General features: G+C 38.3%; 1 protein-coding gene across 8 annotated transcripts in view; it reads right to left on the minus strand.

Annotated features, from left to right (window-relative positions):
• The window catches only part of CTNNA3 (catenin alpha 3), a 1,851,072-nt gene that overhangs the window by 1,468,301 nt on the left and 360,401 nt on the right, over positions 1-22,370 (minus strand). Inside the window, exon 1 of one of the 8 annotated variants that reach the window (XM_017016155.3) lies at positions 6,163-6,321. The exons of the other annotated variants lie outside the window; for them this stretch is intronic. The gene's annotated coding sequence lies outside the window, so the exon portion shown is untranslated. Of the gene's footprint in view, positions 1-6,162; positions 6,322-22,370 lie in introns of those variants that run through there. 8 annotated transcript variants of the gene reach the window in all.

Here is a 22,370-nt window from a genome sequence, read left to right on the forward strand (position 1 = left end):
GGAAGGAAATCTTTAAGAAGTTACTTTAGTCTTCATTTTTCTATTTCACTTTGTACTTTTTAGTGACTAAAATAGGTTAGCAGAGAGCACTAAGAGAAATATAATACCAAGAATTAGAATCCTAAAACCTCAAGGGCTTCAGGTACCATATAACAAATCTATTGCCCTGAACTCAAGCTCCATTACCACAGTCCTGATGACTGTCTCTCTGCTGATTGAGTATCTCCTTGAACCAAGAGCTCACCATTTTATGAAACAATTCCCTTCCTTGTTTCAGAATAGTCTACAGATATGAACTGAAGATCATTAAAGTATTTTAAGTACACAAATCAATATTCCCATTTGCTAGCCATAAAAACACTGAAAAGTCAAGGGGAAACATCTGCATAATAAAATTAAAGACTTTCATATAACTTTTAGGTTTCAAAATGAAACTACGTGTAAGGAGACTAAAACCCAGACTTTCCTAAGGCCACAAAGCAATTTAGTGGTAAAAACATTCTCTATAAATTCAATCTTCTTAACATCTTTCCAGTATGTGTTACTGTCCCACATATTCTAATCCAAAAGACTCTATTTTGTGTTTCATATCAAGAACTACATGCTCTGCTCCACAGCCTTCTGAAAATGAAAAAAAAGAAGTTTAATGATCTATTCAGATGTGTTTCCCTTCCTTCGTGCACTGTAATTATTTCCAATAAAAATTTAAGGAGGTTAACTGGAAGATCTGACACAAAGCTTGAGCTAAATGTACCACCCTCTCCTCATACCACCACCCTCCCCTGACCCTCTTTCATATAAAAAATAGTACATTTTAACTTCAAAGAAGTTCCTGTTATCTGTGTACTCTCTGCCCATGGAAATTACATATACAACATACATACAGTCTCCAGATACTCCATTTCTATATAGGCACTTTCAAAGGAGGAACTCAGGCATTAAGTTCTTTCTAGAATTGAAAACGCTCACTCAGAAATAGCACCTCCAGCCCTTTCTGACAGGTGAAGCCCTGTCTATCAATCATTGCCCTGCTGCCTTGTTTTCTTTCTTTTTTTTTCCAGTCCAGTGTGATCAACTGAAACAATATCACTATCCAGCTCTGAGCATATTCATTTTACTTACATGTACATTGGAAGTTCTTTGGTGACTAATACTTAAAATTATATCAGTTTACTTAAACCATGTTCAATGAAAAATAGATAATCAAAAAGATTTTTTTCCACAGAAGCTGTTTGACTAACAGTTTATGAGAATTCAATGTTAGTTTCTTTCATTCTAACTTTTTAATTATTTTTAACTAAACATAGTTAAGAAATGGAGGTTTCTGTCAGCAATCCAAGTCTCTCAAGTTTTCCAGGATGTTTTATCTACTGAATTCTTGAAATGTCTACTAAGAACAGTGCAATAATTTCCATAAGCAAAGGATGCCTACCAGTACAGAACCCAAAGCACTAAGCCCTGCTAAGGCACAGCATTCACATGGCACACTAAACAAAAATTTTAACAAAATTGTATTCATTTTTATCAATTTATAATTTATCCTATCAATTTTCAAAAAACTTTAAAACAGTGTAGGATAAATACATGTATAAAATAAGCAGAATTAAAATAAAAATCAACTAAAAATCAACTAACAAAGGTTCATGTGATAGAAATTATATTAGAAAAATATAATATGTATTTGTAGGAACTACTAAAATTAAGGTTTCATTAATTGTTATGATCTTCTTGACAACATGGCTCTCATCATCTGCTATAAGTGGACCCATCTGTTTCTTACTATACATACATTTATACATGTATGTGTATATGCCTCCCTGTGTTGGTCCATTTGCATTGTTATAAAGGAAATAACCTGAGGCTGGGTGATTTATAAAGAAAAGAGGTTTATTTGACTCATGGTTTATTTGGCTCATTCTGCAGGGCTTCTGGTGAGGCCCAGGAAGCTTTTACTCATAGCAGAAGGTAAAGGGGGAGCCAGCATATCTCATGATGAAAGCGGGAACAAGAGAGAGGAGGGGGTGCCAGGCTTTCTTAAACAGTCAGATTTCATGTGAACTCATACAGTAAGAATTCATTCATTATCACAAAGACTGTATCAAGCCATTCATGAGTGATCAGTCCCCAAGACCCAAACCCTACCACTAGGCCCACCTCCAACATTGGAGGTCACATTTCAACACAGGATTTTGAAGGGGCAAAACATCCAAACTACATCACTCCATAAGTTGTTAATGCAGTGTTTATCAAAGGCATGACTTAATGTAAGTCTTGGAACTGTATTCATTGCTTAGTTTTAATGTTACATATTATACATATTATATAATCTCTATTAATAAATTCTCATTAAAAATTAAGAACAATTAATTGTTAATGTACTAGGTGATTTGTTTAAAATAAATTTCTAAACAGGAAGTATAATGTTCTCATTCATCTATTTATTCATTTATTCAACAGGAAGATGAAAAAGCCATGGTACCTACCCCGTGGCAAGCACCGTGAACAAGGCATTACATGCGTAATGCTATTTAATCTTCACAACAGTCGTGGTAAGAAAGTATTGCCATACCCATCTTACAGCTGAGGAAACTAAAGCTCAGAAAGATTAGAATATACCAGTAAGTAGTGGAGTTGGGACTTGAACTCATTTGCCTAGCTGCATATTAAGATTCTCACCACTACATAATGTAGTCTCACAACAAGTACTAACTTACCATTTATGTAGTACCAAAGACCAACTTAAAATGTAGTGTAGACTCAGAATCACAACTAGAATGTGGTCCTTGATTTTTAAGGTGTTTACAGTCCACTTTACCTCACTAACCTAACTAGAGCTATGCTAGGCATATCTTGGAGTTCAATGATTAGTTAACAATAAATTTAAATATAGAATGAGTCAGTAGATATAATATTGAGTTTCTATTATATGGCAGCTGCATGCAAAACATTGTATATGATGAATAAGGTGAAAATAACCCACTTCTAACATTAAACAGTGACGTTTACTAGAATCTTTGATGTAGGTAACAGAGAAGTAAAAATAATCTGTAGTTGCTTTTTAACTTTTTCCTTCAGACTACTGAGGAAATTATGTTCCACTTAATATCAAACCAGCTTTCTTGATTTATTTTCTAAGCCAAGGTTAATGCTCTTATACTAAGGGTCACTAACAGATTCCTTACCATTTACACCATTAGATTGTATAGCATTAAGATAAATCTACACTAGCGTGAGAAACATTACTGTTTTGCTCCTTATCATTACTTATATATGTATATATCACCTTGTGCCAGAAAGGATATAAAGTGTTTTATAAGGATACATAAAACACAAATTAGCATAAATTTAAAGTTGGTTAAAAAAAAATAAAGGTAAAGACAAAGTAAGGTCGCTATACATCACTGTGGTGGCTGCAAATTTGGCTCCTTTCTTTCTAGCAACCTACCTGAAATAAGAAAACTTATCACTTATTGAATTTACAATTCCAAAGGTATTTTTCTCATTGCTTAAGGAATATATGATATCCTTGGAATTAAGATGTTTTAATTTCTCCAAACCTCTTTTAAAAATATGTGACCTAATAAACAACTATTTTCATGCTTCATCCACTAAATATATGCATTATCTTCATAGACATGGTTTTTCTTGTTCCAGGAATAAAAGAAAAGGTACTGAGTTACATGTTTGCATTCTTCTAGATTCCCACTACTTACACACACACCACCCACTAAAATAACAGATTCTTGTTTGTTTGATAAATTCCCAGGTCTTCTTCCATTGTGCAGGCTCAAAGTTCCAGGGGAGCCCAAAACTGAAACAGCTCCCTAAGGCTAGGCAGAACTGTTTAATAAAACTCTGAGCCAGTGAAGAAAGGGAACAAATACAGGAAGCTCGTATGACTCAGTTTAGAGAAAAAGCTTTCTGAGAGCTTAGAAATAGAGCATGGAATGAGAGGAAGAAATTAGGCAGCTGCTACATATAGAAGATTGTAAAAATGAGAGAATAAGGAAAAAATATTTAAGAAAGCCTTACTGAGTATTATGCAATTATTCCCCTTTGCCTATTTGATAAGAAAAAGTGGTAAAGATTTGAATTTCTTTTCAATTATTTTTGATGCTACTTTGTTGCTTCTTTCAATGTGAATGCCACCAAAAAGGCCTATTTTGATAAGAAAAAGTGGTAAAGATTTGAATTTCTTTTCGGTTATTTTACATGCTACTTTGTTGCTTCTTTCAATGTGAATGCTACCAAAAAAGGGCCTATTTTGATAAGAAAAAGTAGTAAAGATTTGAATTTCTTTTCAATTATTTTATATGCTACTTTGTTGCTTCTTTCAATGTGAATGCTACCAAAAAAGGGAAAGAGATGGCTTGCTTTATGCAGCTTATAGTCTAATGACCTCAGTATAGAATAATGGCATCCCAGGGCCTCCTGTGGCTCCAGCCATCTGCACACTTGTGGTTGACAAGGGACTTCTCCTTCTGTCCAGAATTCACTTATGCAAGAATGGGACTTTTTAATTTTTTCAAACCTCAGAAGTTTTCTTTCAGAAACTAGAAAAAGCATAATAAGGAAACTTGAACCAAAAAGAACACTTCTACCTAATATAGTTTTTGAGGTGCCCCTAATCTCTATTGAGACCCAGAATCTTTCAGTGATCACACATTCATCAAAGTAATGGTTTTCAGCCTTCTTCACAAACTCTAATAGAATAAAGTTTGCACCACTGTTACCTTTGATTGTACAAATATCTATATGTGTATAGTTAAAAACACTAGTTTAAAGGAAGAAGGAATCATATATAGGAGAATTACCCAACTCTTCACCCTTTTTTTTCTCTTCCCCACTTCATTCTCCTAAACCAAGGCTGCATGTGAAACTTGAGCATTCTGAGCGCAAAGCAACAGCACCATCAGAGCAAGACAGCTGTGTCCAGGAACTACATTCCTACAGAGGGTTTGGCAGCCAGTGTGGTCCCACAGTGCCTGGTGGGGATATACCCTGAAGGATCTCAAAAAAAAAAAAAAAAACCTGGGGAGTGTTGGAGGACAGCAGAAGTTTCACAGTCATGCAAGTGGAAGCTACCAGCCTGTGCACGGGAGCTTTAATATTAATGTGACCTCCTGGTCACATACAGTGCAGTAAAGGGACATTTAAATAATATACAAAATGGAAATACCATCACCTTATCTGCTTATGTCTCTACATTGTTTCGAGCATCTAAAAATGAAATGCATAAAAAGGCACTCAGAAACTATAATGTACAATATAAGTATATGCCAATATTCTAACTTCCAAATAAAACTTACTCATAAATTAGGTATAGGGTTAGACCTGATTCTGAATTCTTTACATTGCCATGCACCATAGGGAATGTGCTTCTAAAAATATGCAATAAGTTATTTGGACAGTCTGACGAAAGCATAAGGAGTTCTTACTTTTTATAATTACACATTGAATTTCATCTCATTTATTTACGTTCGGTCCTGTTTTCAACTACTTGGAATTCTTCTGAGCAGAAATTTTTCTTTATACAGACATTACATAACTCACAGGTCTCAGGCTACTCACCCCCTCCATGTCCATCTCCTTCTGCCCCTCTAACATACCACATACCACCCTTCTTACCCTCTCTTCAGATGGTAAAATGGGCGTTTCTCACATTCTTTTACCTAAGATCTGACTTCAACACTTGTTTGAACTGAGTTGAAAGCCTTCATTAAACATCAGCAGAAAAAAAGACTGACAATAGATCCTAGGGGGAAGTGAACAAAAAGGAAAGAAAAACAAAGCACTGAGGAAGATCATCTTAAAGGAAAAAGATAGAAAAAGTCTTATACTTTAATCCCAATGGCCTTTGTATATGTTTTAAGAATAGTGCCAGAACACGAAAAATGAGGGGTTTCATTTACTTATGACTGAAATACTGAGAATGATAAAGGTAGGAAATAGTGTCTGTCACTTAATGATTACATGACTGATAATTACCTTAAGAAAGTTGGCCATGCACATTAACATGAGTTCCACATAATGTTAATAACAAAGCAAACCACAAGTTCCTTTTTGGTTAATTCAAGTCTGATCAAAAGCAAGTGAAAGCACATACAATTCTCACAAAAGTTAAGTATTTGTTAAGACCTCATTCCAAAACCTCCGTCCTACCTTCCTATCCTTCTTTAAATCATCTGAAGTTCTGATCTGTAACAAGAAGCCCGTTAGTTGAGGGAGGACCCAAGACGGCCGAATAGGAACGGCTCTGGTCTACAGCTCCCAGCGTGAGCGACGCAGAAGACGGGTGATTTCTGCATTTCCAACTGAGGTACCAGGTTCATCTCACTAGGGAGTGCCAGACAGTGGGCGCAGGTCAGTGGGTGCGCGCACCGTGCACCAGCCGAAGCAGGGTGAGGCATTGCCTCACTGGGGAAGCGCAAGGGGTCAGGGAGTTCCCTTTCCGAGTCAAAGAAAGGGGTGACGGACGGCACCTGAAAAATCGGGTCACTCCCACCCGAATACTGCGCTTTTCCTAGGGGCTTAAAAAACGGCGCACCACGAGAGTATATCCCGCACCTGGCTCGGAGGGTCCTACGCCCCACGGAGTCTCGCTGATTGCTAGCACGGCAGTCTGAGATCAAACTGCAAGGCAGCAGCGAGGCTGGGGGAGGGGCGCCCACCATAGCCCAGGCTTGATTAGGTAAACAAAGCAGCCGGGAAGCTCGAACTGGGTGGAGCCCACCACAGCTCAAGGAGGCCTGCCTGCCTCTGTAGGCTCCACCTCTGGGGGCAGGGCACAGACAAACAAAAAGACAGCAGTAACCTCTGCAGACTTAAATGTCCCTGTCTGACAGCTTTGAAGAGAGCAGTGGTTCTCCCAGCACGCAGCTGGAGATCTGAGAACCAGCAGACTGCCTCCTCAAGTGGGTCCCTGACCCCTGACCTCTGAGCAGCCTAACTGGGAGGCACCCTCCAGCAGGAGCACACTGACACCTCACATGGCAGGGTATTCCAACAGACCTGCAGCTGAGGGTCCTGTCTGTTAGAAGGAAAACTTACAAACAGAAAGGACACCCACACCAAAAACCCATCTGTACATCACCATCATCAAAGACCAAAAGTAGATAAAACCACAAAGATGGGGAAAAAACAGAACAGAAAAACTGGAAACTCTAAAAAGCAGAGGGCCTCTCCTCCTCCAAAGGAACACAGTTCCTCACCAGCAACGGAACAAAGCTGGATGGAGAATGACTTTGACGAGCTGAGAGAAGAAGGCTTCAGACGATCAAATTACTCTGAGCTACGGGAGGACATTCAAACCAAAGGCAAAGAAGTTGAAAACTTTGAAAAAAATTTAGAAGAATGTATAACTAGAATAACCAATACAGAGAAGTGCTTAAAGGAGCTGATGGAGCTGAAAACCAAGGCTCGAGAACTACGTGAAGAATGCAGAAGCCTCAGGAGCCGATGCGATCAACTGGAAGAAAGGGTATCAGCAATGGAAGATGAAATGAATGAAATGACGTGAGAAGGGAAGTTTAGAGAAAAAAGAATAAAAAGAAATGAGCAAAGCCTCCAAGAAATATGGGACTATGTGAAAAGACCAAATCTACGTCTGATTGGTGTACCTGAAAGTGATGGGGAGAATGGAACCAAGTTGGAAAACACTCTGCAGGATATTATCCAGGAGAACTTCCCCAATCTAGCAAGGCAGGCCAACGTTCAGATTCAGGAAATACAGAGAACGCCACAAAGATACTCCTTGAGAAGAGCAACTCCAAGACACATAATTGTCAGATTCACCAAAGTTGAAATGAAGGAAAAAATGTTAAGGGCAGCCAGAGAGAAAGGTCGGGTTACCCTCAAAGGGAAGCCCATCAGACTAACAGCGGATCTCTCGGCAGAAACCCTACAAACCAGAAGAGAGTGAGGGCCAATATTCAACATTCTTAAAGAAAAGAATTTTCAACCCAGAATTTCATATCCAGCCAAACTAAGCTTCATAAGTGAAGGAGAAATAAAATACTTTATAGACAAGCAAATGCTGAGAGATTTTGTCACCACCAGGCCGGCCTTACAAGAGCTCCTGAAGGAAGCGCTAAACATGGAAAGGAACAACCAGTACCAGCCGCTGCAAAATCATGCCAAAATGTAAAGACCATCAAGACTAGGAAGAAACTGCATCAACTAACGAGCAAAATAACCAGCTAACATCATAATGACAGGATCAAATTCACACATAACAATATTAACTTTAAATGTAAATGGACTAAATGCTCCAATTAAAAGACACAGACTGGCAAATTGGATAAAGAATCAAGACCCATCAGTGTGCTGTATTCAGGAAACCCATCTCACGTGCAGAGACACACATAGGCTCAAAATAAAGGGATGGAGGAAGATCTACCAAGCAAATGGAAAACAAAAAAAGGCAGGGGTTGCAATCCTAGTCTCTGATAAAACAGACTTTAAACCAACAAAGATCAAAACAGACAAAGAAGGCCATTACATAATGGTAAAGGGATCAATTCAACAAGAAGAGCTAACTATCCTAAATATATATGCACCCAATACAGGAGCACCCAGATTCATAAAGCAAGTCCTGAGTGACCTACAAAGAGACTTAGACTCCCACACATTAAAAATGGGAGACTTTAACACCCCACTGTCAACATTAGACAGATCAATGAGACAAAGTCAACAAGGATACCCAGGAATTGAACTCAGCTCTGCACCAAGCGGACCTAATAGACATCTACAGAACTCTCCACCCCAAATCAACAGAATATACATTTTTTTCAGCACCACACCACACCTATTCCAAAATTGACCACATACTTGGAAGTAAAGCTCTCCTCAGCAAATGTAAAAGAACAGAAATTATAACAAACTATCTCTCAGACCACAGTGCAATCAAACTAGAACTCAGGATTAAGAATCTCACTCAAAACCGCTCAACTACATGGAAACTGAACAACCTGCTCCTGAATGACTACTGGGTACATAAGAAATGAAGGCAGAAATAAAGATGTTCTTTGAAACCAACGAGAACAAAGACACAACATACCAGAATCTCTGGGACACATTCAAAGCAGTGTGTAGAGGGAAATTTATAGCACTAAATGCCCACAAGAGAAAGCAGGAAAGATCCAAAATTGACACCCTAACATCACAATTAAAAGAACTAGAAAAGCAAGAGCAAACACACTCAAAAGCTAGCAGAAGGCAAGAAATAACTAAAATCAGAGCAGAACGGAAGGAAATAAAGACATAAAAAACCCTTCAAAAAATTAATGAATCCAGGAGCTGGTTTTTTGAAAGGATCAACAAAATTGATAGACCACTAGCATGACTAATAAAGAAAAAGAGAAGAATCAAATAGATGCAATAAAAAATGATAAGGGGGATATCACCACCGATCCCACAGAAATACAAACTACCATCAGAGAATACTACAAACACCTCTATGCAAATAAACTAGAAAATCTAGAAGAAATGGATAAATTCCTCGACACATACACTCTCCCAAGACTAAACCAGGAAGAAACTGAATCTCTGAATAGACCAACAACAGGATCTGAAATTGTGGCAATAATCAACAGCTTACCAACCAAAAAGAGTCCAGGACCAGATGTATTCACAGCCGAATTCTACAAGAGGTACAAGGAGGAACTGGTACCATTCCTACTGAAACTATTCCAATCAATAGAAAAAGAGGGAATCCTCCCTAACTCATTTTATGAGGCCAGCATCATTCTGATACCAAAGCCTGGCAGAGACACAACCAAAAAAGAGAATTTTAGACCAATATCCTTGATGAACATTGATGCAAAAATCCTCAATAAAATACTGGCAAAACGAATCCAGCAGCACATCAAAAAGCTTATCCACCATGATCAAGTGGGCTTCATCCCTGGGATGCAAGGCTGGTTCAATATATGCAAATCAATAAATGTAATCCAGCATATAAACAGAACCAAAGACAAAAACCACATGATTATCTCAATAGATGCAGAAAAAGCCTTTGACAAAATTCAACAACCCTTCATGCTAAAAACTCTCAATAAATTAGGTATTGATGGGACGTATTTCAAAATAATAAGAGCTATCTATGACAAACCCACAGCCAATATCATACTGAATGGGCAAAAACCAGAAGCATTGCCTTTGAAAACTGGCACAAGACAGGGATGCCCTCTCTTACCACTCCTATTCAACATAGTGTTGGAAGTTCTGGCCAGGGCAATTAGGCAGGAGAAGGAAATAAAGGGTATTCAATTAGGAAAAGAGGAAGTCAAATTGTCCCTGTTTGCAGACGACATGATTGTATATCTAGAAACCCCATTGTCTCAGCCCAAAATCTCCTTAAGCTGATAAGCAACTTCAGCAAAGTCTCAGGATACAAAATCAATGTACAAAAATCACAAGCATTCTTATACACCAACAACAGACAAACAGAGACCCAAATCATGAGTGAACTCCCATTCACAATTGCTTCAAAGAGAATAAAATACCTAGGAATCCAACTTACAAGGGATGTGAAGGACCTCTTCAAGGAGAACTACAAACCACTGCTCAAGGAAATAAAAGAGGATACAAACAAATGGAAGAACATTCCACGCTCATGGGTAGGAAAATCAATATCGTGAAAATGGCCATACTGCCCAAGGTAATTTACAGATTCAATGCCATCCCCATCAAGCTACCAATGCCTTTCTTCACAGAATTGGAAAAAACTACTTTAAAGTTCATATGGAACCAAAAAAGAGCCCACATCGCCAAGGCAATCCTAAGCCAAAAGAACAAAGCTGGAGGCATCACACTACCTGACTTCAAACTATACTACAAGGCTACAGTAACCAAAACAGCATGGTACTGGTACCAAAACAGAGATATAGATCAATGGAACAGAACAGAGCCCTCAGAAATAACGCCGCATATCTACAACTATCTGATCTTTGACAAACCTGAGAAAAACAAGCAATGGGGAAAGGATTCCCTGTTTAATAAATGGTGCTGGGAAAACTGGCTACCCATTTGTAGAAAGCTGAAACTGGATCCCTTCCTTACACCTTATACAAAAATCAATTCAAGATGGATTAAAGACTTAAACGTTAGACCTAAAACCATAAAAACCCTAGAAGAAAACCTAGGCATTACCATTCAGGACATAGGCATGGGCAAGGACTTCATGTCTAAAACACCAAAAGCAATGGCAACAAAAGACAAAATTGACAAATGGGATCTAATTAAACTCAAGAGCTTCTGCACAGCAAAACAAACTACCATCAGAGTGAACAGGCAACCTACAAAATGGGAGAAAATTTTCACAACCTACTCATCTGACAAAGGGCTAATATCCAGAATCTACAGTGAACTCAAATAAATTTACAAGAAAAAAACAAACAACCCCATCAAAAAGTGGGCAAAGGACAAGAACAGACACTTCTCAAAAGAAGACATTTATTCAGCCAACAGACACGTGAAAAAATGCTCATCATCACTGGCCATCAGAGAAATGCAAATCAAAACCACAATGAGATACCATCTCACACCAGTTAGAATGGCGATCATTAAAAAGTCAGGAAACAACAGGTGCTGGAGAAGATGTGGAGAAATAGGAACACTTTTACACTGTTGGTGGGACTGTAAACTACTTCAACCATTGTGGAAGTCAGTGTGGTGATTCCTCAGGGATCTAGAACTACAAATACCATTTGACCCAGCCATCCCATTACTGGGTATATACCCAAAGGACTATAAATCATGCTGCTATAAAGACGCATGCACACGTATGTTTATTGCGGCACTCTTCACAAGAGCAAAGACTTGGAACCAACCCAAATGTCCATCAATGATAGACTGGATTAAGAAAATGTGGCACATATACACCATGGAATACTATGCAGCCATAAAAAATGATGAGTTCATGTCCTTTGTAGGGACATGGATGAAATTGGAAATCATCATTCTCAGTAAACTATCACAAGAACAAAAAACCAAACACCGCATATTCTCACTCATAGGTGGGAATTGAACAATGAGAACACATGGACACAGGAAGGGGAACATCACACTCTGGGGACTGTTGTGGGGTGGGGGGAAGCAGGAGGGATAGCATTGGGAGATATACCTAATGCTAGATGATGAGTTAGTGGGTGCAGCGCACCAGCATGGCACATGTATACATATGTAACTAGCCTGCACAATGTACACATGTACCCTAAAACTTAAAGTATAATAATAAAAAAAAAATAAATAAAAATAAAAATAAAAAGAATGTGGCCATGATGACAGGGAGGAAGATTTACCTCAGACCTGCAGTATGGACTTCTACTCATCAATATTTACTGGTCACAGAAACTGCTGAATTCAAAATCTGCCAACAATACCATCTGTGTGCTACAGAATACCTTATTCAGGATCATATTATTACTCATACCATCATTGTTGACCAAGGAATTTATTTTACAGCAAATAAAATGTGGCAAAGGGCCCTTGCTCATGAAATTAACTAATCTTGCCATGATTTTCTTCATAGCATGGATAATAGTATGGTGGAATGGCTTTTTGAAGACTCATTTATGATGTCAGCCATATGGCAACACTTTTCAGAGCTGAAGTAATATCCCCAGTATATTCTGCATGGTCAGCATACATGTGTGGTGCCATATCGCTTACAGTCCAAATGTATGGGTCAAGGAATCAAAAGGAGGGAAAAAAAATTAGAATGTACTATCACTATTTCTTCAGGTGATATACTAGCAAACTTTTGCCGCTCATTGCCATTATTTTAGGCCCTGTGAGTTTAGAGATCTTAATTTCAAAGGAAGTAATGCTTCTATCAAGTGATAATGCAATAATGATTGCATTGAACTAGACATTGAGACTTGACCCAGCCAAATTAGGGCCTTCAATTAACAGGCAACAAATGGGGTTTCTGTACTAGTTGGAGTGATTCTTCTAGCTATCAAGGTAAAATTAGGTTTCTACTAAAAAATAAAAAGATATATATACCTGAAATGGAGGAGATCTTCCAGAGTGCTTATTAGTATTCTCATTTCTTGTGATTGAAATCAGTGGAAAACTAGCACAGCTCAATTCAGGATGGACTGATAATCACCCAGATCCTTCAGCAATAATGATTTAGGTAACTTCATCAGGCAAGAAATTAAACAAACTGAAGTTCTTGCTGGGGGCAAAGGATATAAAAATGGTAGTGGAAGAAGCTGTTTAAACATACCAGCTATAACGATGAGACCAGTTGCGGATATATGGACTAACTTAATTATGAGTATTTCTTATCTTTATATAAATATGACTCTTTTGTGTGTGTGATATCACATACACAATGTTTACTTTATTTTCTTTCTTCCCTCATTCCCTAATCATGTAAAATAAGATGTGTTAATAATGCTTAACTTTATATCTCAGTATTTAAGGTACACCGTATCAATAATGGAGCATGAATAGAAGAATGAATATCAAAAAAAAAAAAAGAAGCCCGTTAGTTAAATCAGTATGGGAAGTGGGCAATGCTGTAAAACAGCAGCTGACATCAGTATTGTAAAATACATAAAATCTTTCATAAAATGAAAGATAGCACAGACAGCTATAAGAGGCATGTTTGCTTTGAAATACCCCTTAAGAATCTTAGCACTACACAGTACCTGCCACAGAGTTACCTTTTTACAAAGAAAGAGTAATTCTCCAAAATCTTACAACATTTCTGCACAATACTGGCTAAGGTCATTCTGATCCAGTATGACCCAGCCAGATATTGCATTATAATACCTGTATTAGAATGACAATTCTCACCTCCAGGATGTTAGTAAAATACCAATCTGATTACTAATTCAAACAAAAATACAGGGAGGGAGCATCAAATATCCATAAAAATTATTTACAGCAACTGTAGTTATTCAGGTCATTTTTACAGAAAGCCTATCCCCTGGGCCAATGTATTTGTGGCATTTTTTTTTATTACTACATAGCTCAAAAGTGCCTTTCATGCTCAGCAGGCACATCATAGGCAAAGAACTGACAAATTGAAAAGCTATCATAAGAATATAAATCAAAAATTCTATAAAATTTGGCTTATATGCCCAAAGATGTCAAAAACATGATATACTACATCAGTTATTCACCATCAACAAAAAGAAACATTGAAAGCATCTATTTTAATCCTGATTTTTACACTTGCAGATTTTCCCCCACCAAATTTATCTTAAATAATTCTTAAGTACACTTTCTCCTCATATATATTTTATTGGCTTTCCCTTAAACATGAAAAATTATAGCAGTTTCTCTACACATCTAATCAACTCATTTCAGTAAAAACCATAACCAATTAAAATTTATTCTCAAAAAAAGGAATCTAATTCTTAACCATAGGCTAATGATGCTTAAAAGAATTGCTTTGCAGCTTGACCAGCAGATGGGACATCACTTTAGACTGCAACACAAGGAGAAATTGATGAGAAAAAACTAAGAGACTTTCTGTTAGGAGAAAAACTGTAAGGGACACCACAGGAAGGAGCCATTTATAATCATTTTCTCCTCCACATAATTTAAAGCTGTGGGCCAGGAGCCAAATGATGGCAAGGAACACACCTCCCACCAAGCAAGAATTAAGATAACCAGCTCTAATATAAGCAACACAAAACTAATTATTCTCATAAATTCCCTTCATAGTGTTAACACAAAACATCAACACTATGGTGCTGACAGCAGCAGGCAGGGAAGTGGTAGAAAATTTAGATCCAGCACTTTCCTTTAAACTTAGATTAGTACATCATAGCAATATCTATATTGGAAAAGTACAAACAGAACTAACAGAAGCATAATGGAACAAATTTCAGAATGTGAATAGTAGGAAACATTTTCAGATTATAACAACATATATTCTAAATGATGACATTACATAACAACAATAGTTAAGATTTTTTAACATTTCCATTAATCCCACTATCCAATTTAATCCCCCAACAACCTATGTGGATAGAATTATTTCCCTACTTTACAAACAAGAAAGTAGAGGATTTCAGGGTGACCTCAAGGCAATAATTAGTTTAATGGCAAAGCCACAAGTCTTGGTTTCCATTTCAGAGCTCTTTCCAATATATTAAGCTGCCTATCTATGTATATTTTTTAGTATTATTAACAGTAAATATTAAATTAACATTTAAAAACATCACTTTAAATGTATGTTTGTAAAATAAAAGCAGAGTATATTTTTAAAGAAAGATCATTGAAAATTTTAAATGACATAAAAATTTCTTTAGATGATTACTGTAACCAAAAAGAAATAATCACAAAACTATCTGAAAGCAAATAACAACATCAACTTGTAAACATCAATTATTCAGAAAGGAAACAGAATATATCCTAGGAAGACACAAAGTTGAAACTCAATATGAATCTAGAAAAATAGGATTATATGTTTAAACTTATAATTTATTTGATGATGACACTATAAAAAAGAACATTCAAATAAAATATTAAATAAGATGCTTCTGACATTTGACTAAATTCAATAGATATTATCATTATTAATATGGTATCATCATCAAAATTATCATATTGGTAAAATTATCATTCCAGCTATGTAATTTGATCATGTTTTATTATAAGCATCAAAATCAATGTACAGATGACCACTGAATAACATGGGAGTTAGGAGTGTCAAACCCCACACAGATTTTCAGCTGCATATAACTTTCAACTTCCCCAAAATTTAACAGGAATGTCTACTGTTGATCAGAAGCCTTACCAATAACATAAACAATTAACAAACATTTTGTATGTTATAAAGCAAGCTAAAGAAAAGAAAATGTTGTTAAAACAATCATAAAAAAGAGAAAATATATTTATTATTTGATATGGTTTGGCTCTGTCCCCACCCAAATCTCATCTTGAATTGTAGTTTCCATAATCCCCATGTGTCATGGGAGGGACACGGTGGGAGGTAATTGAATCGTGGGGGCAGTTACCCCATGCTGCTGTTATTGTGATAGTGAGTGAGTTCTCACAAGAGCTGATGGTTTTATAAGGGGCTTTCCCCCGTTTTGATTGGACTTCTCCTTCCTGGCACCATATGTTTGCTTCCCCTTCGCCATGTTGTAAGTTTCCTGAGGCCTCCCCAGCCATTCTGAACCGTGAGTCAATTAAACCTCTTTCCTTTATAAATTACCCAGTCTTACATATGTCTTTATTACCAGCATGAGAATGGACTAATACAGTATATTGGTACCACAGAGAGTGGGGTGCTGCTGTAAAGACACCCAAAAATATGGAAGCAACTTTGGAACTGGGTCACAAGCAGAGGTTGGAACAGTTTAGAGGGCTCAGAAGAAAACATGAAAATGTGGGGAAGTTTGGAACATCCTAGAGACTAGGAGAGCTCAGAAGACAGGAAGGTGTGGGAAAGTTTGGAACTTCCTAGAGATTTGTTGAACAGCTTTGACCAAAATGCTGATAGTGATATGGACAATAAAGTCCAGGCTGAGGTGATCTCAGATGGAGAGGAGGAACTTTTTGGGAACTGGAGCAAAGGTGACTCTTGTCATTCTGTAACAAAGAAACTGGCAGCATTTTGCCCCTGCCCTAGAGACTTGTGGAACTTTGAACTTGAGAGAGATAATTTAGGGTATCTGGCAGAATAAATTTCTAAGTGACAAAGCATTCAAGAGGAAGCAGAGCATAAAAGTTCGGAAAATTTGCAGCCTGAGGATGCAATAGAATAGAAAAGCCCATTTTCTGGGGAGAAATTCAAGCCTGCTGCAGAAACTTGCATAAGTAACAAGGCCAAATGTAATCACCAAGACAATGGCTAAAATGTCTCCAGGCCATGTCAGAGACCATCACAGCAGCCCCTCCCATTACAGGCATAGAGGCCTAGGAGAAAATAATGATTTCATGGGCAGAGCCCAGGGCCCCCCTGCTGTATGCAGACTTGGGACTTGGTGCCCTGCATCCCAGCTGCTCCAGACATGGCTAAAAGGGGTCAAGGTACAGCTCAGGCTATGGCTTCAGAGGGTGCAAGCCCCAAGCCTTGGCAGCTTCCACATGGTGTTGAGCCTGTGGGTGCACAGAAGTCAAAAACTGAGGTTTAGGAACCTCTGCCTAGATTTCAGAGGATGTATGGAAATGCTTGGATGTCTAGGCAGAAGTTTGTTGCAGAGGCAGAGCCCTCATGGAGAACCTCTGCTAGGAAGTGTGGAAGGGAAATGTGGTGTGGGAGCCCCCACACAGAGTCTCCACTGGGGCACTGTCAAATGGAGTTGTGAGAAGAGGGCCACTGTCCTCCAGACCCCAGAATGGTAGATCTGCTAAGAGCTTGTGGCTGGAAAAGCAGCAGACACTCAATGCCAGCCAGTGAAAGTAGCCAGGAGGGTTGCTATACCCTGAAAAGCCACATGGGCAGAGCTGCCCAAGGCCATGGGAGCCCACCTCTTGTGTCAGTGTACCCTAGATGTGAGACATGAAGTCAAAGAGCATTTTGGAACTTTAAGGTTTAATGACTGCCCTATTGGATCTTGGACTTGCATGGGGCCTGTAGCCCCTTTGTTTTGACCAATTTTGCCCACTTGGAACAGGTGTATTTACTCAACACCTGTACCCCCATTTTACCTAGGAAGTAACTAACTTGCTTTTGATTTTATAGGCTCATAGGTGGAAGGGACTTGCCTTATCTCAGATGAGACTTTGGACTTGTACTTTTGGGTTAATGCTGGAATGAGTTAAGACTTTGGGGGACTGTTAGGAAGGCATGATTGTGTTTTAAAATGTGATGACACAAGATTTGGGAGGAGCCAGGGGTGGAATGATATGGTTTGGCTGTGTCCCTACCCAAATCTTATCTTGAATTTAGTTCCCATAATCCCCACGTGTCATGGGAGGGTACCTGGTGGGAGGTAATTGAATCATCTGGGTGGTTACCTCTACACTGTTGCTTTCATGATAGTGAGTGAGTTCTCATGAGATCTGATGGTTTTATAAGGGGCTTTTCCCCCTTTTGCTTGGCACTCCTCCTTCCTGTCTCCACGTGAAGAAGGACATGTTTACTTCCCCTTCTGCCATGATTGTAAGTTTCCTGAGGCCTTCCAGCCATGTTGAACTGTGAGTCAATTAAGCCTCTTTCCTTCATAAATTACCCAGTCTCAGATATGTCTTTATTAGCAGCATGAGAACAGAACGAATACACTATTCATTAAGTGGAAGTGGATTATCATGAAGGCCTTCATCCTTGTTGTCTTCACACTGAGTAGGATGAGGAGGAGGAGAAAGAGAAAGGGTGGGTCTTGCTGTCTCAGTGGGGGCAGAGGCAGAAGAGATGGAGGAGGCAGAAAGGGAGGCAAGAGAGACAGGCACCCTCCATGTAGCTTTTATTTTTTAAAATCTACATATAAATGCACCTGCACAGTTCAAATCCTTGTTGTTCAAGGGTCAACTATAAACGAATTTGTTAGAGTGACAGACAAGTACCACCTTTGCTCAAATTGTAAAACCAATATTATTAATTTTATAGCATTTTATCAGCATTTTTTCATTAAATGAATATACAATTGTCACATTAAATCCCCTAGACTCTCATCAAAATTGTAAATCATTTCATTAGTAATCAAATAAAATTTGCAGTTTTTGGCTAAGTCATTGACAACACTCCATGCTCTGTCCCATCCTAACTCTTTCAACACCATTTTCTACCATGTAATCCAAATATACTGGGCATTTTATGCTTTCTCACTTTTACAACATCTCCCAAGGTTTTTTCCAGGTAGAACACCCTCCATTTCTCCTTGTTAAAATAATACCTGATCTTCACCACCCAACTCACATCCTATGTCCTTAGTTCAGACTTCCCTGATCCTGTCAACTGTTGGAGATCTTTTCCTCCATTAAGGTACTTACCAAAGTTTGTCTTATGTTTCTGATAATTTTCATAAGTCTCAAATAACTATAAGCATTATGGTAACCAAGACTGTTTTAAACTTTTGTATCTCCCAAAATACTTCAGTACCATAGATCAAGTACACATTCATGAATTCTGCATCTACTACATAGTCAGAAAAGTGGAAGAATTTCTATAGTTATATTTTAATTACAATTTTTTTTTATTATACTTTAAGTTTTAGGGTACATGTGCACAACATGCAGGTTTGTTACATATGTATACATGGGCCATGTTGGTGTGCTGCACCCATTAACTCATCATTTAGCATTAGGTATATCTCCTAATGCTATTCCCTCCCACCTCCCCCCACCCCACAACAGTCCCCGGTGTGTGATGTTCCCCTTCCTATGTCCATGTGTTCTCATTGTTCAATTTAATTACAATCTTTAAAATCACAGAAACTCTTGAATACATATACCAAAACCTTCAAGATGCCAATAAGAATTTTACTCTGTTGTGAGTGCTTGTCATTTGTAACTATATTGTTCCCACATCTAACAATCTATCACCCATAAACATGTCAAAGTACTGTGACAAAGTATAACAAATGATTCTCCAATATTTTGAATAGATTTACTTTTAAATAAATGTTACAGATGTATTATGAAATAAGAAATAAGCTTACAAATACATTTATTTTAACATCTTGTGTTGATTATGAGAACAATAAAAATGAGCAATTCACGGGAAAATAATTTCAGATAGATTTTGTCTCCCTACAAATGGGCATCCTGATATTCACTCTGGAATAAATACTTTAGGAAGAAGATGATATTGAGATCATATCCCTTTGTTTGGTAATCAAAGGCTTATTTTTCATGTGGAAAATTTTAAGTGCTAATAAATAATCCACTGCAAACCACATAATTTTTGAAAATAACCCCCAAATTATATACACAAACAAGTAAATTTTAGTGAATGTATGCAATTGCTATTGGCAGTTATTAGATCCTAATTACTTTTCAAAAGTGGAATTAATAATATGTAATTTAATGTCTTACAGGATATTATAAAGATGTAATTTTATTGGACTTTGCTTCTAATACACTGAACCATAAGGCTAAATTTAAAACCACTTAGAAAAGAATATTAGAATTAAATTACAGAGAAATTTACAACTAAATTAAGAAACTCTATCAATTAAAAAACTTTGCTGTCATCCTCAAATGTGAGTGCTTATCTAATAATATGATCCTGGACTAAGTGTTGTGTATACTTCAGATATAAAATTTTCATATAGGCTATTCCTAGGCAAATACAAAAAGTAAACAAAAACAAAACAAAAAATACTGATGACTAGTGATCACATTAAAATAAATGACATCATAAAAGTGACCCTTTTCCCCTTCCACCTCCCACCACATTAGGACAGCAACAGAGCATCAGCTTGGAAGCAAAAGCAGCCCTCACAAGATCACACCTGTCAGTGCCTTGATCTTGAACTCCTGAGCCTCCAGAACTATGAGAAATAAATTTCTGCTCTTTAAAAACCACCCAGTTTCAGCATATACTGAAAATTCAAAACTTGCCATACTTTTAAAATATAGATTGGGACTAGATACAGTCAGAAATTGCCACTCCCACAGAAAGAGACCCAATTTAATATACACCAACATAATTTGAACAAATCTTCAGAGAGAAACTACCAAACATGGATTGAGAAAAGATGCAGTCCCAGAGACTGAAGAAGAAGGAAGTTAGGCACCCAATGTGGGGTGCCTGAATGCTAAGGCTGATTTCCAAACTGGAAAGGTACCTGGGGAAGGGGATTGGTCCAGTAAGGATATGGGTTATTTCCATACCAGACCTCTCCCTAAGGGAGCCCCGTGGCCCCAAAGACCTAATAAAAACAACAACAAAATCGAAGGTACAGTGCTAGTGATTGGATGTGGCTCCCCCAAGCAGACCTGATGAGGGGGTCATCTATTTCCCCCTTGCACTGCAGAACACAGCTGCAAATGTTAACATAGACAAAGGAACCACAAGGCTGAGTAGAAGCCTATCTACTGCCCATTGCTCTCAAGGACCATCTACTAGATTGTAGCCCAAACTACAACACCAAAATCACTTTACTAATCCTGCCCTTGCAAAACCAAGAGTAAGAATTCTGCAACGAAGACACCATACAGAGCCTTAGTTCTCTAAAAACTTTCAGAAACAAAGCCAACAAAGTACACTCAATTTACACCACAATTAAAAGAATACCATCCCTCCCAGATGAGAAAGAATCAGCATAAGAACTCTGGCAATTCAAAAAGCCACACTGCCCCCTTACCTCCAAATGAGCCCACTAGCTCCCCAGAAATGTTTCCTAACCAGTCTGAATTATCTGAAATGACAGACATAGAATTCAAAATATGGATGGCAAAGAAGCTCATTGAGATCAAGAAGAAAGTTGAAACTCAATCCAAGGAAGCCAAGCAATCCAGTAAAATGATTCAAGGGCTGAAAGGTGAAATTCTCACTTAAAGAGAGACAAAAACTTAATTTCTTGAGCTGAAAAATTCACTACAAAAATTACATAATATAATTGGAAGTATTAACAGCAGAATAGACCAAGCTGAGGAAAGAATCTGAGAGCTCAAAGAGCAATTCTTTCAATTAACACAGTCAGACAAAAATACAGAAAAGAGAATTGAGAAAGATGAAGAGCAGAGAGTGGGCCGAGACCTCCAATTAGAAGTAGCTATGGTGCATGGCACTCATAAAGAGGAAGAAAAGCAGTGAGTAAATACAGCACCTTCAACTGAAATATCCAGGTTTTCGCACTGGGACTGATCAGGGAAATAACCAATCCACAGAAAACAGAGAAAAGTAGGGCAGGATGATAGCCCACCTGGAAGTGACGCAAAGCCAAGGGAACCCCCACCCCAGCCAAGGAAGTGGTAAGTGAATGTGCCACCCTGGGAAACCACATTTCTCCCATGGATCTTTGCAACCCTCAGATCAGGAGATCCCCTCATAAACCCACTCCACCAGGACCTTGGGTCAGATACACAGAGCTGTGTGGAGTCTCAGCAGGGCAGCCACTCAGGTATGCACAGAGACCCAGGAGATTTACATACCCCAGCCACAGGATCCCTGGCAAAGGTGACTACAACTCAGTCAAGGCGGGAGGTCCATACATACCCCTAGGAAGGGGGCCGAATCCAGGGAGCTGAACAGCGTCCATCTGTGGGCCCCATTTCCAAGGCACCTCACAAAATAAGACCCACTGGCTTGGAACTTCAGCCAGCCACCAGCAACAGGGTAGTGCCTGCCTGAGATGGAATGGAGCTGCCAGGGAAAGGGGTGGGCTGTCACCTTTGTTATTTGGACAACTCAGCTGTTCAAGTCTGTGGGCTTTGGAGAGTCCAAACAGTCTGGACAAGTAAGGGACCCCCAGCACAGCACAGCACAGCTGCTCTATGAAAATGTGGCCAGA

Source organism: Homo sapiens, chromosome 10 (assembly GCF_000001405.40).
Source record: "Homo sapiens chromosome 10, GRCh38.p14 Primary Assembly".
NCBI classification, from domain to species: Eukaryota; Metazoa; Chordata; class Mammalia; order Primates; family Hominidae; genus Homo; species Homo sapiens.